Consider the following 15,772-nt stretch of genomic DNA (forward strand, 5'->3'; position numbering starts at 1 on the left):
TTAGAGCAATACCAGTGGGAGCAATATTGAGCTGAGGGGTCAAGCTATACCTCTGTGGTGATTCTCAAATTGTCATGAGCAAGCGATATTTGCAAGAGAACAGTTAAGCAGACCCTACAGAAAAATCATAGAAATGTACTACGACGTGGAACACTTTGCCTGGTGAGTATATAAAAGAGAAAGGTCAGAGAAGGCAGTAATTATGTTACAACAGAGATGATGTTGAAGGGGGATTCAATGCTCAGTGCTGTGTTAGACAATGTCAGGTATTTTTACGTCATGACGAAGAGTCCATGTAATGCTCGTTGACTTCTTTCAAGATGTTTAGAGATTTCAGTTTTTCAACTGAAGATGCCAACAACTTTTAGCCCTCAAAAGTTGTGCCTGGGAAGAAACCTTTTGAAAACTTCCAGCCCAGATTGTGTGTCATCTGGTCCGAGGGATGTTTTACTCTGGCCACTTGCTGGCAAGTTACATAAAAATACCCACATATGATGCCTGATATGTGAGCTAGGGTAGTTGCAGAAGTAGTAAATGTGCTACTTCAAATAATAGTAAACTGTTGCATTAAACTTTTATTTGTTCATTCATTCCTGGCTTGGGATAGGGACTGGGATTGGAGTTTATAAATAAGATCAGGAGGCCTGTGCTTGGGAAGCCCGTCCAAACAACCCAATTTGAAGGGCTTTGACATCTAGGCTTGGATAATTCGTTGCATGACATGAATAAAATTTTCTTAAGATTTTTGTGTTAGACCAATCCAGGTTTTCTAGATTAAATCTCATGGTCTTGAAGGGGATAGTCTCATCTACTCAGAGTGGCTAAGTAGGATTAGTAATAAAGGCCAAACAATTTGCATACTGTACAAAAGAAGGTGACGGTATTCCAAAAGAGCTGGATGAGCATCCTAAGCAAGAAGTGTAGCACTGAGCTCTAAGAGCATGTTGATTCTAGTTGCCACTGTGGCTGACACTGAACACAGTGATCAATAATTGTGGTGGTGATAATGATAATGGTGATGGTGGTGGTGATAATGATAATGGTGATGGTGGTGATGACAAGATGACACTGATAATGATGATGGTGATGATAATGATGATGGTGGTGGTGAGAATAATGGTGGTGATGGTGATAATTATGCTACTGATGACATGATGATGGTGATGATAATGATGATGGTGGTGGTGAGAATAATGGTGGTGATGGTGATAATTATGCTACTGATGACATAATGATGTGATGATAAGATGGTGATGGTCATGATGATAGAAATGATGGTGGTAGGGATGATGATAATGGTGATGGTAATGATGATGGTGGTGGATGATGGTGGTGGTGATGGTCGTAGTTATGCTACTGATGATGATATAATGATGACGGTGGTGGTGATGATAATGGTGATGGTGGTAGTTATGCTACTGATGATGATATAATGATGTGATGATTGTGACGTGATGATGGAGATGGTAGTGGTCATGGTAGGGATGTGATGGAAGGGATGATGGTAATGGTAATGGTGAAGATAATGTTGCTGGTGGTGGTGATGATAATGGTGGTGATGGTGGTAGTTATGTTACTGATGATGATTTAATGATGTGATGACGATGATGTGATGATGGAGATGGCGATGGTAGGGAAGATGATAATGGTGATGGTGATGGTGAGTTTGATGATGATGATGGTGGTGGTGATAGTGAAATATGATGGTGTGATGATGATGATGATGATGATGATATAAACCTAAAGTTTATTGAAGGCTACCTATAGAGCAGGTATTGGCAAACTATGGCCCACAGGTTAAATTTGGCCCACTTTCTGTTTATGTAAATAAAATCTGATTATCACACAGCCACGCCCATTTATTTGCATATTGTTTATCACTACCACCACACTACAACAGCAGAGGAGAATAGTTGCAATAGACTGTAGGGGCCACAAAGCCTAAATTTTTTACTGTTTGATCCTATGCAGGTAAAGTAAGAAAACTTCTGCTGTAGAGAAAGGAAGGTATTCACCAGTCTAGTTTTCCCCAAGCTTCAGTGCACGTAAAAACTACTTAGTGGGTATGCTATTGTGATGTATAGTAAGACATGTAAATACTGGTTTTCCTCCCTGGTTCCTGGCACTAAGCTATGGAAACACTTTTACTTTCCTGTGTGATATGTGTGCTAGGTGCTTATTTTGTCCTGACGTTTGGTATTTGAACCCGGTTCCTGAGACAGAGCTCCTAGTCTCTTGGAATTTCCTGGGTGATTAGAGCATGTTTTGTTCTAAGGAGACGACTCCTGGTGAGCTCCTGGATGGAGCCTGGTAGCCAGAAGCAACAAGGCATAATTAGAAGCCTGGAAGTTCCAGCCCCATTTCCAACCCTCCAGCCTTTGGGAAGAAAGGAGGAGCTAGAGATTGAGTCAATAATTGATCATGCCTGTGTGACAAGGCCTGCATAAATACCCCTGAACTACAGAGTTTAGAGAACTTCCAGGTTGGTGAACACATTCCAGGGCAAGGAGAGTGGTGCAGCCGAATGTGATGGGGACAAAAGCTTCTGCACTCAGGACCCTTCCAGACCTTGCTGCACATACCTGCTCATCTGGCTGTTCAGCTATGTCTTTTATCATAGCCTTTATTATACAATAAACTGATAAGCATAAGCATTTTCCTTAGTTCTATGAGCTCACTAGCAAATTATTGAACCTGAGGAGGGGGACGTGGGGACGCTGATGTACAGCTGGTCAGTCAGAAGCACAAGTGACCACCTGAGACTTGCAATTGGCGTCTGGAGTGGGGGCGGCCCTGTAGGACCGAGCTCTTATCCTATGAGACCTACACACTGTCCTCCAGTCAGTGTGAGGATTGAATTGAATTGCATGACACCCAGTTGATGTCAGAGAATTGGTTGTTGATAGGGACAAAACCCACACATTTTGGTGACCAGAAGCGAAGTGTGAGAATATATAGAGACAGACAGTTTGATATTTCCTCACAGGGGGCTTGTATGATTAGACTCCTCAGCAGTTGTCTGTGGACAGTTCTTTGATAAACACCTTATGGGGTCCAGCCATGTGAGTTTTGAGACAGTATTAAGTGTCTCTGATCCTCTAGTCTATCAAATGAGGCTTACATTTGATCTAGAGGTATTGGAAAATCGAACTGATGAAAAGTTTAAAAATTCAACATTACATAAATTCAAGCAGAATTAAGCCAGCTCAATCCTCCTTAACAAATAAACACCTTCAAGCTTCTTGCACAGACCAGGATATAGAATTTTAAGTTTGTCAGTCGCTAAGTAGACCCACTGGAGAAAATTGCACTTTGCCTTTAAATGATTTACTGCTGTGATTTCCAGGGGAGCTTAACTGTTCACCATTGTCTCCAGGCAGTGCATTCTCCAATTCTCAGACACGTTGTCTCAAGAAACCACTATTTTCAGTTTGCGATTTTTTTTCTGAAATTTTTCTGAGAAGGTACAGCTAAATTAAATTATTCTTCTTGCCACCAAACATGAGTTATGGTCTCCATCTCATTTAGCAACTTCTGTAATTTATCACCATTAAAAATGGTCTAAAAGGGCTTAATTTAGTTAATAGATTCCTCACCTCAGAGTCAGCTTCCCTCTGGTTTAAGCTGCTGTTTCTCATGCCACAGAAAGACAGACTCTCTCTCTGAAACAGATATTACTGATTTCCACATAATGTTCCTGAAGTCTGAGCTGACTTTTCATGAAGTGAGACAGATGCATGGCGCTAACTCCAGCCACCTGCTGTGGCCTCGGATTGGCATTTTAAATGAGAGAGGGAGGACCCAGGCAGAAATCCCTGCCATTCTGTGGGAAAAGAATGTTGGCCAAAAAGGCTATAACAATTCCACTCTTTCTGGCCTCCCTTACCACTAAATCCATAGGCAAAGGGGAGCTATCTTTCTTGGATTAGTCAACTGTAAAAGCAGGCATAATGAGACACAGGTAAATCACAACAGGTTGATGTGGAAACTTACACCGGAGTGGACAGATGCTGAAAAATGGCAGATGTGCTTAGGGGAAACACAACTCAGCTTGAAAAAGAGCTTTATGGAAAACAACTTTAGTATTTGAGTTGAAGGAAGATATAATGCCTATAAGAAATAGGAGTCCCAGAATGTTCACTTGCTCAGTTTCCTGATACAATGCCATCTGAGTGTCTCGTTGACCCCGTGCTTTCTAATAATATTTGAAGACATTTTCATTCAAAAGACCTGCTATTTCCATACATAAAACTCATGTATGTTCATTGTGGTGTGTGTGTGTGTGTGTGTGTGTGTTCAGAAAATACAGATTTTTTTTTTTTTTTTATGATGGGGTCTCACTGTCACCCAGGCTGGAGCTCAGTGGCACGATCTCAGCTCACTGCAACCTCTACTTTCCCGGGCTCAAGTGATTCTCCATCCTCAACCTCCCAAGTAGCTGGGACTACAGGCACAAACCACCAACACCTGGCTAATTTTTGTATTTTTTGTAAAGACTGGGTTTTGTCATGTTGCGTATGCTGGTCTTGACCTGGACTCAAAGCCATCCACATATCTTGGCCTCCCAAAGTGCTGGATTACAGGCATGAGCCACTGCACCCAGCCAAAAACACAGAAATTTATATGTAAGAAAGTAAAAATATCCCAAATTCCCAAAACACACATATAACCATGTGAATATTTCACGTTTTGTGCTCTTTTTGGCCGTTTCCCATGTATAAATAAGTATCTAGATAGGGATATAGATTGATCACAGAATTAGACCTTGTGCTTCTTAGCAACCCAAGCCATCTGAACAGTATTTCGTGGAAACATTTTCCAATTACTACGTACAGACATTTGTTATCATTTTTTAATGACAGCATGATATGCTATTGAGTGAACAAATCACAATTTAAATAATGGCCTATTTGGGACATGTAAGATGTTCCCAGGGTTGATTTGTTTCACTAATGAGCCACCAGATATGCACCCATGGAAACCTTGGTCCAACCTTTTCTTATTATAAAAGGTGTCAGGGTGAGACTAATGCAATACCCTTGCGGTTCCCCTCCCAGCCCCAGTCCATGGTGCTGACAGCTGCCTCCACACAATGGGAAAAAGAGCCCAAACAGAACTGTCCACGACCTTTCTTCTTGCCCTTGCCTTTCACCTACACCCCTCTGATTCAGGGCACATTAGGGAGGCTTGTCAGTGCTTCTTCAGTTTACCTCCTGTATCACCCTTTGTGCTGCCCCCCAAATCCCCTTCCACTTAATCTAGACTGTAGAAAACAGGAGAAATGCCTCACACTTGATAACACAAAGTTTCTTTCTGCCACCGTGTGGGGCAAACAGGGTCTGCCTTCCTGCAGGCAAAGGATTAATCCACCTTCCTTGAAGTCACTCCTTTAACAGGTAAACTGGAATCCAGGGCATGCAGCCTTGCCCCTTGGTTTCCAAACACCTGCTGAGGTCCGAGTCACAAACTCCACGAAGGAGGGAAAGGTATGTCCACAGTAGGGCATCCAGACTTTCCTCTCCTTATCACCAGGCCGGGGCTCCATTCCCTCTCCAAGGAGATGCCAGGGGATCCCTTGAGGGTGGCAATTATTCTTTGATGTTTCAGCCTTAGAGACTAATGGATGAATAATGGTTGGTAATTTTGACTTTAGACCAGGGCATCAGCTTGTATTTAAGGAAAACATAGAAGCCTCAATACAGAGTAAGTCCACAATGATTTCAGAAGACCCGATTTTAAGAAGCAAGCTGAGAGCTTTAAAATTACTTTCTAGCAATCTAAATACAATCATTGAAGTCCAGTCATGGGTACAGAGGGAATTGTTACACTATTCTCTCTACTTTTATGTGTATTTGAAGGTTTTCATAATAAAAAGTTAACCAAAAGTAATCTATATAAACTTAGCTATGAGAATGTAAGTGCCCTAGTGGATTTAAAACAATTCTATTCTTTAAAAAAAAAAAAAAAGGCACACATACACAAACACACACATTGAGTTTCAAATTACATCTTAAAATATGTGAGCCTTAGTTTCTGTTCCCCATTCCATCACAAATTATTTGAAAGTTTGTGTTGTAAATTCCATTTTCTTTTTCCTGATGGAGTATGTCACTCTGTGGGGAAAAGCCCATTCCGCTGTTGGTACAGGGAACTCATAATTCCCCAGTCGCTCGTGTTTCCAAAAGAGGGGGAGAGAAAGTCACACAAAGCCAAGGAGAGAGAGGAGGATGGGAAGAGAAGGAGGCCGAATGCAGAACAGAAGCACAGGGGTCCTTTCTTTGGGATCCCCCCCCCCGAGACTCAGCTGCACATCCTTCCTCCTCTGTAAGTGTTCTTGCCTTGAGGTCATTCAAACATCCCTGATTTATAGCAAGTCTGCAGTAACTTTACTGGGGCTCTCACAAAGAGTTATTGTTGTGATGGTTTCAGCAGAGCGAGTACTAAGGAACCACATGGTCAGGCCTTCCACAAGCTGTTGCTCCCCCCAGTTCCATAGCTCCCTGGAAGATGGATGAGAGCAGGGAATGTGGTTTCACAGCAGGATCCACAGTAGGCCGAGGCCAAGGTGGCTGCATTCTAGAGCTGTGTTCTGAGATAACGTCTGCATATCAGGCAACTATCATCTCTGTTCGGCTGGAAACCAGGAAGGCAGAGGCGATGCAGTGGCTAACGCCTCCCAAGCATCTATCCCTCCTTTCTGCCTATCCGTAGCCTCACCCTTGTCAACCCCTGGCTTTCCCGAGGCACTCAGTAATTTTTGCTCAGCTTACAGAGGCTCTCCTCCCAGATTTTATGCTGGAAATATGCCTCTGAGCCCCAGTTGTTCACAAGGTGGTGGTCTTCAAATACGCACCTGCATTATATGAAAGGAAGGTAGGGAAGAGGTGTGCAGCGAGGAGGGGAGCCACCTCCCCTGTGTGTGTGTTTGATGAGGCATTTTCATCCAAAAGAAAGATGGATTGCCAACCAGACCCCGGCATCTGACATGCAATTATGTCTGTGCACCTGCAGCTTGCCCCATATGTAAAATCTGCAGGTGCAAACCTTGAGTCCAAAGACAGTCCTTTAAATCATATCCTTCCAAAGACTCTCGTGGTTCCTATTGGAGCAGAGAAGCTGCTGAGGAGAGACTGCTTGAGTAACTCAGTCATTACTTTTCTTCTCACTCTTTGTTGTGCTTTGCTCATCCAGGGGAGGCCTTTCAGTGCTGAGAAATTACAAGTCCTTTTTCAGATCAGGTACATGGCTTGTGTGCTTTTCCCATGCACAGTCTATGCAAGGGGAGGAACATTTGTTTTGTGGGCTTGTTTTGAACATCTGAATCCAAAGAGAGAAGCTGCCCTGGTTTATCAGTCTGTCTGGTTCTGACACTCGACATCTCCTGTTCAGTTGGAATTCTGCACCCCTTTGCATGTGCATTACTGAAAGGTGCCTTTAAAAATGCAGATGCTCTCTGTCTGTTCCCACCAATGTCTTTACTGTAGTCAGCCCTCCATCTGCCAAGGGGTAGCTTGCAAGCATCCTCACCCTATAAGACCTTGCTGACTACTCATTCCAGCTTTGCGTGCTCTCTCTCTCTCTCTCTCTCTTTCTCCCTCTCTCTCCCCCCTTGTCTCTTGTCTCTTTAAGCTCCAATTGTACATTGTCCCTCTTTGTCATTTTTCTCATTTTACCATATATTATGGTTAATTGTGTACTTCCCTTACCCACATTAATAACAATGAAATTAGTAGGTTGAGTCCATAATGTGAGTCTCTGTGCTAACAGTCCTGCATGCCCTGCCTAAATTAATTCTTGCTACTACTGATTCTGTTCCAGGCACTTTAGATCAAGTGAACAAACAAAGCTATGAAAACCACTCCCCTTCTGAAGCATGTGGGTTAGTTGGAGGAGAAAACTATAAACAAGGCACAAATAATTAAAAATAATTTTAGATGATAACAAGTGCTATAAAGTTAATAAAACACACTAAGGAAATGAGGATTGCTGAGCATCATTTGAACTGAGATCTGAGGACTGAGAATGAGCCATTCAAGAGCTCTAGGAAAAGCAATCCAGGAAAAGGGTGGAGCAAATGGGAAGGATCTGAGAAAACAGAAGTCTAGGGCAAGTGAGGTGGAACAGTCAGGAGGGAGGCGGGAGGTGAGAGAGGTGGGGCAAGTGGGTGAGGCCAGGTCCTGTAGAGCCTGGTGGCATCTGGGCACAGCCAGATTCAACAGGGAGCATCCATACTCATCTGGGCACAGCCAGATTCACCTGGGGATACCCATACTCACCTGGGCACAGCCAGATTCACCTGGGAATATCCAGATTCATGTGGGTATATTCATATTCACCTGGGCACAGCCAGATTCACCTGCAAGCACCCATCACAGCCAGTTTCTCCTGGGACTATCCGGATTCACCTGGGTATATTCATATTCACCTGGGCACAGCCAGATTCACTGGCCACACCCAGATTCTCACAGCCAATGGACTGTCAGATGCGCCAGTGCTCACATTCCAGCCCCTGCTGCCTGATGCCCCAGGGCAAGAGTCATTCTCAACATCTCACACAGCACAAGCAGCTCATCCTCCATGCAGCTGGCCTGGATGGGGCATCCGGGATACCCCAGGGCAAGAGTCATTCTCAACATCTCACACAGCACAAGCAGCTCATCCTCCATGCAGCTGGCCTGGATGGAGCACCCGGGATACCCCAGGGCAAGAGTCATTCTCAACATCTCACACAGCACAAGCAGCTCATCCTCCATGCAGCTGGCCTGGATGGGGCACCCGGGATACCCCAGGGCAAGAGTCATTCTCAACATCTCACACAGCACAAGCAGCTCGCCCTCCATGCAGCTGGCCTGGATGGGGCACCCGGGGCTGTGCAAGCCCTATCCCCTTGAGTCTGCACAAAAACCCTGTGAGTTTGTTAATATTACCTGCATTTCACAGACAGGAGTTCAGGACACAGGGGGGTCACCTGAGAGTGACCAAGGCTTGGACATCAGCAGCCTGGCTCCTGAGTCCACATCCTGACCACCCTCATAGGGTTTGGAGGTGGTGGGTGTGTGGTCACTTTGTCTTGAGTGTTGTGGAGTCAGCCTTGCCCACACCCAGAGCTGAGCCCCGGGAACATGTCCATGAGTGGGAGTGGCCGCTCTCCACCAACAGGCACCACGGTCATGGCCATGGACTGACATTTCCGGGAAGTCACTTCTGAAGGGAAAGCTATTTTGAGGCCTGGAGAATGAGTGACCCAAGGGTGGAATGTCCCGACCAAGCATATTATTCTTCCCCAGAGCTCCTCAGCTTGGCTGTAGAACTGAGTGTGGGGTGGGGGTGGGGAGACCGCAGCCAAGCGAGAAGCAGGTGACCTCAGCACAGGCAATTTGCTCAGCTCTCATAAACTGCTATGCCACCAGGTCACTCACATCAGCATCGCTCGTCTGCAAACAGCCCCAGCTGTCACAAGTAATAGGGCGAGGGTGAGACCTCCGTGTGTTTTCTGAAGACTGTTTTCTTAAGACTCTTCAAAAATGAGATGCTCCCGTCACTCTCAACAACAGGAAGACCGTGTGTCACACAGTTATTAGATTTTATTTATGAGGGAAGCATCTGAGTTTTCTGCAACCTGTCATTGAGCAGTGTGTAAACTGACAGAGGTGTCTATCTATGTCCACCCTGGAGATGCCAGGCTGGAAAATGAGGACAACGATGCTTCCATCAGAAATTCTGAAAAATCGTGATAAAGTGATAGAGAAGTCACTTCTAAGTTCTGTGATCTGCTTTAAATGCTTGATAAAACATAAATATGTGCCTGAAAGAGAGCTAAGAGAACATGAACACAACTATATTAACCCTTAGCAATGAAGAATTATAGCTGGTCACTGTCTTCTTCTCTTTGTAAAAACAACCTGTGCATATAAAATTCAACACTATAGTTTCCAGATAATTCCTCATAGGGGTGTAACATGTATGTACAAACACAGAAGCTTATAGAGCACATAGAGGGTTGAAATCCTATCTATTCCTGCTCCAGGGTGCCCTTGTGCTTAGGAGGGGCTGGGGGCACACAGGTCTCTGCCCTACGCAGAAGCTCACTCGCTCCGTCAGTGAGCACGGAGGCACAGGCACGTAATGCTCAAGTGCTTATGTGACTGCATATCAAGCTTTGGTAACAAGACACCCAAATCCTTTTGAAGACCCCCCTGAATTCCGTCCAATGGGAGTATTACCCAGACACCTTGCCCTCTCCAGCCTCAGGTCAAGCAGGTTCTTAGTATTGGGCCCGTAGCCTGCTCCCTGCCTGGAATCTGAATCACAGGCAGAGCAATGAAAGAGCAGCAAAGAGTGGAGATCATGCCTACAGCAGGGGCTTTCAGACAGGACTGCTCATTAGTTTCTGGTCTTCCTTGCTTGATTCAGCCAGAACCAGGTAGGCTGTTTACTAGAAAAGTTCCCTTCATGATACCATTTCCTGTGTGTGTGATTATAGGCTCATAGGAAGTTGCAAAATAGTACAGAGTCCTTTGAATCCCTCATTCAGCTTCTCCAAATGGTGACATCTTGTGCAATTGTAGCACAACATCAAAACCAAGTAATTGGCATAAATACAATACTATTAACTCTGTTATAGCTTTTATTCTATTCAATTGTCAGCAGTTATTATGTAAACTCTGATTGGTGTTTTAGTCTTTGTCATAACCTGATAATGGAGACAGACTCTGTTCATTATCTTAATTTGTCCATGAAGAAAAAAGGACCCAAAAGGACTCAAAGAGCCCAACAAATACGGCCAATAGTCAATTTCCTTTGATGCAGGTAAAATATTCTGTGTATCTGTGCAGAAATAATTGCACAGAGCATGAGTCCAGCTGGCAAGCTGGCATCCATGAGAGCTGCCAGCTAACGATGACCCCCTCCCATAGGATGAAGGGATGGTGAGGTCCTGCAAGCAGCTCATGCCCAACGCCAGTTCCAGGGAGCATTTCCCCCACCAGCCTTCCATGATATTCTGGAGATACTGGCTGACTATGCGACCTTGTGCTTTCCAAGTGCAAATAATTGGTGATACCCCCAAAACATTTCTGCATACTATCTATGAGACTGAAACAGTAGAAAGTCAGTGTTACAAGTGTTCCAACCCCCTGTAGGACCATGCCATATGCCTATTTCGGGTCTATGTCAGCAAAAGAACAAAGCGATGTGTGCTGGGGCACTGCTTCCTGCACCGCTGTGTGCTCTCAAATCACTGGGTGGGATTCTGTTGAAATGCAGATGCAGATTCCATAGTTCTGGGGTGGGAGCCTAAGGTTCAGCCTTTCCACCAAACTCTCAGATAAAGCTGATGATGCTGGTTCAGGAACCACACTATGTGTCCTAGATAATATTATTATAGCTGGGTTTTCTATCAAAACTTAGTCAAAGTGAGATAACAATATTCAAACTAAGTCATGAATTAAACCAATTCATTACCTATCCAATGGACGTATGGAAATAGAAATCAAGAAACTAAGATTTTCATATAAACTTAGACTAGTTACTTCACCTCTCTGTACCTCAGAGTCCTCATTTATAGAAGGGGTAACAATAATAGCATCTGCCTTGTATCATAATTGTGAGGCTTAATTGAAAAAATACATGTAATCTCTGAGCAGAATGTCTTATGCAGAATAAGCACACTGTAAATTCTAGATGACATGATAATTGCTGACAAGAGAAATGATGATGCTGCTGGTAGTGGTGATGATGTCAATTGTGATGATGATAAAAATGGTGATGATGATGGGGATGATAATAATGGTAATGAGGATGATGGTGATGATGAAGTTAATGGTGATGATGATGGTGCTGATAAAACTAATGATGATAGGCTGGGCACGGTGGCTCATGCCTGTAATCCCAGCACTTTGGCAGGCCGAGGTGTGCGGATCACGAGGTCTGGAGATTGAGACCATCCTGGCTAATATGGTGAAACCCCATCTCTACTAAAAATACAAAAAATTAGCCAGGCGTGGTGGCAGATGCCAGTAGTCCCAGTTACTTGGGAGGCTGAGGCAGGAGAATGGCATGAACCTGGGAGGCGGAGCTTGCAGTGAGCCAAGATCGCGCCACTGCACTCCAGCCTGGGTGACAGAGCGAGACTCTGTCTCAAAAAAAAAAAAAAAAAAAAAAAACAAAAAAAAACTAGTGATGATGATGATGGTGCTGATAAAACTAGTGATGATGATGATGGCGATGATAAAACTAGCGATGATGATTGTGATGAGGATGATGGTGATGATGGTGATGACGATATGATGATGGTGATGACGATATGATGATGGTGATGAAGATGGTAACAGTGCTACTGGTAGTGATGATGATGGTGATGATAGTGATGGTGATGATGGTGATGGTGATTATGATGACACTGATGATGATGATGTTGAGAGGAGGCTAATAATGATGAGGATGGTGATGTTACTGGTGGTGGTGGTGATGATGATAATGGTGATGATGATTCTGTGATGATGATCATGAGGGTGATCACAGTGATGGTGATAGTGGTGAGGATGAAGATGATGATGGTTATGGTAATAATGATGATTTTCTGTATATTCAGTCAAATATGCTGTGTGACTATAGAAAAGTGAGTGATTCTATCACTTGCAACAAAGAGTAGGCAACAGGTGGACCTGGCCTGGAAGGAAACATACAGCATACCAGGCAAAGAAATGGAAGAAAGTAATCACTCAATACAGATAGAATTGTGTCTGCAAACATAGATTAGTAACAGGCCAGTGTTTGAGTGGAATACCTGGAGCTTCCCATTCTTGAAGATGCATGACTGCAGGCCCCAGCACCCTTGGTTTGCTGAATGGACATGAGGAAGGCTGATCTTCTGTTTCAGCCAGGCTGGTCACTGGTGTCCTTGCTACAGTCGCTGTTGAAAAGAAGCTGCTGTCACAACCTTGGAGGATGAGGGGATAAGCCCAGTGCTTCACTGGAGAGCTGTGGGGCTTGACTGACTGGTTTGACTCCTGTGTGCATTTCTTGGAGTGGATTTATTGAAGGTTATTTGTTTGTCTGTGCCAGAGTAGTCACCTCACAGCGCAACTTCCTTTCAAGTTAGCTGGGACATTTCAGGCTTCCCTGCCACATAGGACCCTGAAAAATTGATTGCCCTGGAAATCCAAGCATTAAATAACATGTATGGGGCTTTAAAAAATTTCAGCTCCCCTTGATTCTAACCAAGCACACTTCTGAATTAAGAAATAAATGCAACTCTTTTATGAAAAAGAAAATTGAACAAATTGCACAAAATTACTGCAAGACCAAAAAGAAAACCTCTCACCGAAGCATTATAGCAAGATGAGTATAATATGCATTATAACTATTTAATTGCATTGGTGATGAAATAGTGCTTGGAACATACACACCACTGTTTAGAGAGGGGAACGATGGCGGAAAGTGATAACTAAATTAAAACTAGTATACATTTTTTCCAATGGGAGAATATATGCAATTCCACAAGAAAGAAAAATATCTGTCTATTTACATGGGTAGATCTCTAAATTGTACAGAATAAAAGAGGGTGGATTTTCAGATTGATTCCAATTGATTAGATGGTGTGTTTTCTACAGGAATATATTGATATGTAAAAGTTTTTAAAGCTTAGAAAAATACACAGGGAAGGCCGGGTGCGGTGGCTCACGCCTGTAATCCCAGCACTTTGGGAGGCTGAGGTGGGTGGATCACAAGGTCAGGAGATCGACACCATCCTGGCTAACACGGTGAAACCCCGTCTCTACTAAAAATACAAAAAAATTAGCTGGGCGTGGTGGCAGGTGCCTGTAGTCCCAGCTACTAGGGAGGCTGAGGCAGGAGAATGGCGTGAACCTGGGAGGCGGAGCTTGCAGTGAGCCGAGATAGTGCCACTGCACTCCAGCCTGGGCAACAGAGTGAGACTCCATCTCAAAAAAAGAAAAAAAAAAAAGGAAAGAAAAGAAAAAAGAAAAATACACAGTGAACTTTTAGTTTTATTTGAAATTTCTATCTTTTTTTTTTTTTTTTGCCAACCATTCATTCATGTTGAATCTTTCAACTGTTTTTGGAAACGGAGCCCATGTGCAGGGTTTTTACATGGGTGTATTGTGTGAAGCTGAGGTTTGGGATACAGATGGTCCTGTCACCCAGGTGGGGAGCATAGTACCCAATAGGTAAGTTTTTCAGCCCACGCTCCCCTATTCTCCCTCCCCTATCCAGTAGTTCCCAGTGTCTATTGCTCCCATCTTTACGTCTATGTGTATTCAATGTTTAGCTCCCTCTTGTGAAAACATGCAGTATCTGGTTTTCTGTTCTCACATTAATTCACTTAGGATCATGGACTCCAGCTGCATCCATGTATCTTTTTGAGAGAATTTATTCATCTCTTACTTATGTAGTTAATTTTTTTTTTTTTTTTTGAGATGGAGTCTCGCTCTGTCGCCCAGGCTGAACTGCAGTGGCGCGATCTCGGCTCACTGCAAGCTTCGCCTCCCGGGTTCACGCCATTCTCCTGCCTCAGCCTCCCAAGTAGCTGGGACTACAGGAGCCAGCCACCACGCCCAGATAATTTTTTGTATTTTTTAGTAGAGACAGGGTTTCACCTGTCTCTACTAAAGGCCAGGATGGTCTCCATCTCCTGACCTCGTGATTTGCCCGCCTCGGCCTCCCAAAGTGCTGGGATTACAGGCGTGAGCCACTGCGCCCTGCCATATGTGGTTAGTTTTTTAAGGTATCAAACTTGAAGGCTATGAGAAATGTCTTAGGAAATGATCCTCTTCTGGAATTTGGTTCCTCTTTGCAGCTGATAAGGAGTCATTCTACCAATGCAAGTACTTGGACACTTACTGCTATGAAATGAACAGACACAACTGGGAAGAAAACCAGCACCCAGGGAAGAGAGGAAAGCTAGGGAGCTGTGCTTGAGTAATTTAGGGGGAATGGTAAATTGTCTAGTGACTCTTTTCACCTCAAGACCCACTGGTTTCTTAGTTTCCTTTCCCAACTCTGCTATTGCCCCCACATCCTAAAGGAACCTTTCTTTTTTTATATATTTTATTTTAAGTTCCAGGATACATGTGCAGAATGTGCAGGTTTGTTACATAGGTATACATGTGCCATGGTGGTTTGCTGCACCTATCAACCCGTCATCTAGGTTTTAAGCCCCGCGTGCATTAGGTATTTGTCCTAATGCCCTCCTTCCCCTTGGCCCCCACCTTCCTACAGACCCTGGTGTGTGATGTTCCCCTCCCTGTGTCCATGTGTTCTCATTGTTCACCTCCCACTTCTGAGTGAGAACATGTGGTGTTTGGTTTCCTGTTCCTGTGTTAATTTGCTGAGAATGATGGCTTCCAGCTTCATCCATGTCCCTGCAAAGGACATGATCTCCTTTTTTATGGCTGCATAGTATTCCATGGTGTATATGTGCCATATTTTCTTTATCCAGTCTATCATTGATGGACATTTAGATTGGTTCCAAGTCTTTGCTATTGTAAATAGTGCTGCAATAAACATATGTGTGCATGTGTCTTTATAGTAGGATTTATAATCCTTTGGGTATATACCCAGTAATGAGATTGCTGGGTCAAATGGTATTTCTGATTCTAGATCCTTGAGGAATAGCCACACTTTTCCACAATGGTTGAATTAATTTACACTCCCACCAACAGTATAAAAGCATTCCTATTTCTCCACAGCTTTGCCAGCATCTATTGCTTCCTGACTTTTTAATAATCGCCATTCTAACTGGCGTGAGATG

Source organism: Homo sapiens, chromosome 20 (genome assembly GCF_000001405.40).
Source record: "Homo sapiens chromosome 20, GRCh38.p14 Primary Assembly".
Classification (NCBI taxonomy): Eukaryota; Metazoa; Chordata; class Mammalia; order Primates; family Hominidae; genus Homo; species Homo sapiens.